General features: G+C 40.4%; 1 annotated feature.

The window, feature by feature from the left end:
- Nucleotides 1,571-1,630: an enhancer, noted in NCBI's record as "active region_21359". NCBI's record gives its function as "activates an Ori minimal core promoter by ATAC-STARR-seq in GM12878 lymphoblastoid cells {active_cell/tissue: GM12878}" and the evidence as "EXISTENCE:reporter gene assay evidence [ECO:0000049][PMID:35858748]".

Consider the following 2,055-nt stretch of genomic DNA (forward strand, 5'->3'; position numbering starts at 1 on the left):
TTTGTCTCTGATAATATTCCTTGTTTTGATGTCTACTTTGTCTGAAGTTAATATAGCTACTCAAGCTTTCTTCTGATTTTTGTTAGCATAGTATGACTTTCTCTCTCTTTTTTTTAATCTATCTGAGTCTTTTTATTTAAAATGGTTTCCTCATACATCTCTTAGAGTGGATATTGTTTTTTAAAACCATTTTGGCAATCTGTCTTTTAATTAATATATTTAAACCCTTTATTTAAAAGTTTGATGGATTAGGTGGATTTTTATATTCCATGTTTGGTTGTTCTTGTTTCTAAGTGTTCCTTGAACACCATTTCCATTTCCCCCACCATTTCTGTTTCATCTTGTTTTAACTGAGTATTTTATATAATTTGGTTGTATCTTCTTTCTCAGCAATTGATTATGCTTTTTTAAGAAATTATTGTAATGGTTACCCTAGAGTTTCCAATTTACATTTTAAGATAATCTAGAAGGTTTTATCCCCAAGGTGCTGAATTAGAGGCTTTCAGCATGCCTCAGCCACTTGGAAATAGCAAGATAGTGCACAAAGATAAACTCTGTGAGCTTTAATTCAAGAAAGAAAACAGGAATCCACTGGAGTCATGAGGGTACGCTAGATTCCAGGGAGAAGAATGTGGGCAAACAGGCTCCATGATGGAGTCTCGATGATAAAAAGATCCTGATACAGGGAGGCCCTCTCTCCCTTATGCCTGGGTAGACCTCCAGGCATTCAGACCATGCACACTTCTGTTTCAGCAGCCTGAGCCATCCCACCGTTCCTGGACATAGCTCATGGTCCAGTGAGACCCTCTCCACCCCCAGGCAGATTCCCAGGCATTTGGAGCACCAGCTCACCTAGATCAGCAGACTGAGCTGCCCTATCCTTCCTGTGCAGAGATCCTGATGCAGGAGGGCCCATTCTACTCTATGCCCAGGCATCTGGATGACCCACTTTCTTGAATTAGGAGTTTAGGCCACCCCCATCCCCACGTAGAGAACTTCAGGCCAAGGAGGTTTCCCAGTCTCATGCCAGATAAAGAAATAAAAAGAACAAATTCTACCTGCATGAAACAATTACAAGACTTAGAAGTGCCAAAATCTTCAGATGAGAATAAAACAGCACAACAATTCTGGCACAAAGTTGGTTTTCCAGCTCCATGCTTAGGCACACCTCTGGGTGCTTGGTGGCCATCCACTGGATTCTCCTTCAGCACTAGTGCTTGTGTCTGCCATCAGGGGACTGGTACTCAGACCTGCCCGATCCTGTCTTGCTCATTGTGGCTCCCACTCTCCAAGGCTAAGCAGGGAGTTTGGACCATTGTGCACTCTATGAATCAGCATTGTCTGAAGCAACAGAGAACTTCTCCCAGAAAACAAGGATCATATATACACACACACACACACACACACACACACACACATACATACATACATACATACATACATACATACATACATGGCTGCAGCCTGCTCTTACCCATAAGTGCCATCTACTGGCTTGTAGGTTAAACTGCACAGCCCAATATATAATAAAACTGTCCGACAGAAGTGCATAGGGCTAGAGAAGAAAAGCCAAAAGAGCATACCTAGCATTCTCTACAGTCACACTCCCTAGAGAGATGAGAAAAGGTAAAAAGAAAGAAGAACAAAAAAATAATATTATGGGGAAAGAAACAAAAATTCTACCTGCATGAAAACAATATAAAAATTAGATGTGCCAGTGTCTCCACATGAGAAGGAACCAGCACAAGAGTTCTGGCACCATGAAAAATCTGAATGTAGTTACAGCAACAAAGGATCACATTAGCTCTCCAGCAATGGTCCCTAAACATAATGGAAACCCAGAAGTGACAGATAAATAAAGCAAAGAATGGATTTCAAGGAAGCTCAGTGAGATCCAAGACAAGGTTGAAAATCAAGAAAAGGAAACCTTTAAAGCAATCCAGGAAATGAAGGAAGTGATGAACATCTTAGAAAGAAATCAATCATAGTTTCTAAAACCGAAAAACTCACTTGAGGAATTTCAAAATACATTTGAAAGCTTTATCCATATACTGG

This window comes from Homo sapiens, chromosome 4, assembly GCF_000001405.40.
Source record: "Homo sapiens chromosome 4, GRCh38.p14 Primary Assembly".
Taxonomy (NCBI): domain Eukaryota; kingdom Metazoa; phylum Chordata; class Mammalia; order Primates; family Hominidae; genus Homo; species Homo sapiens.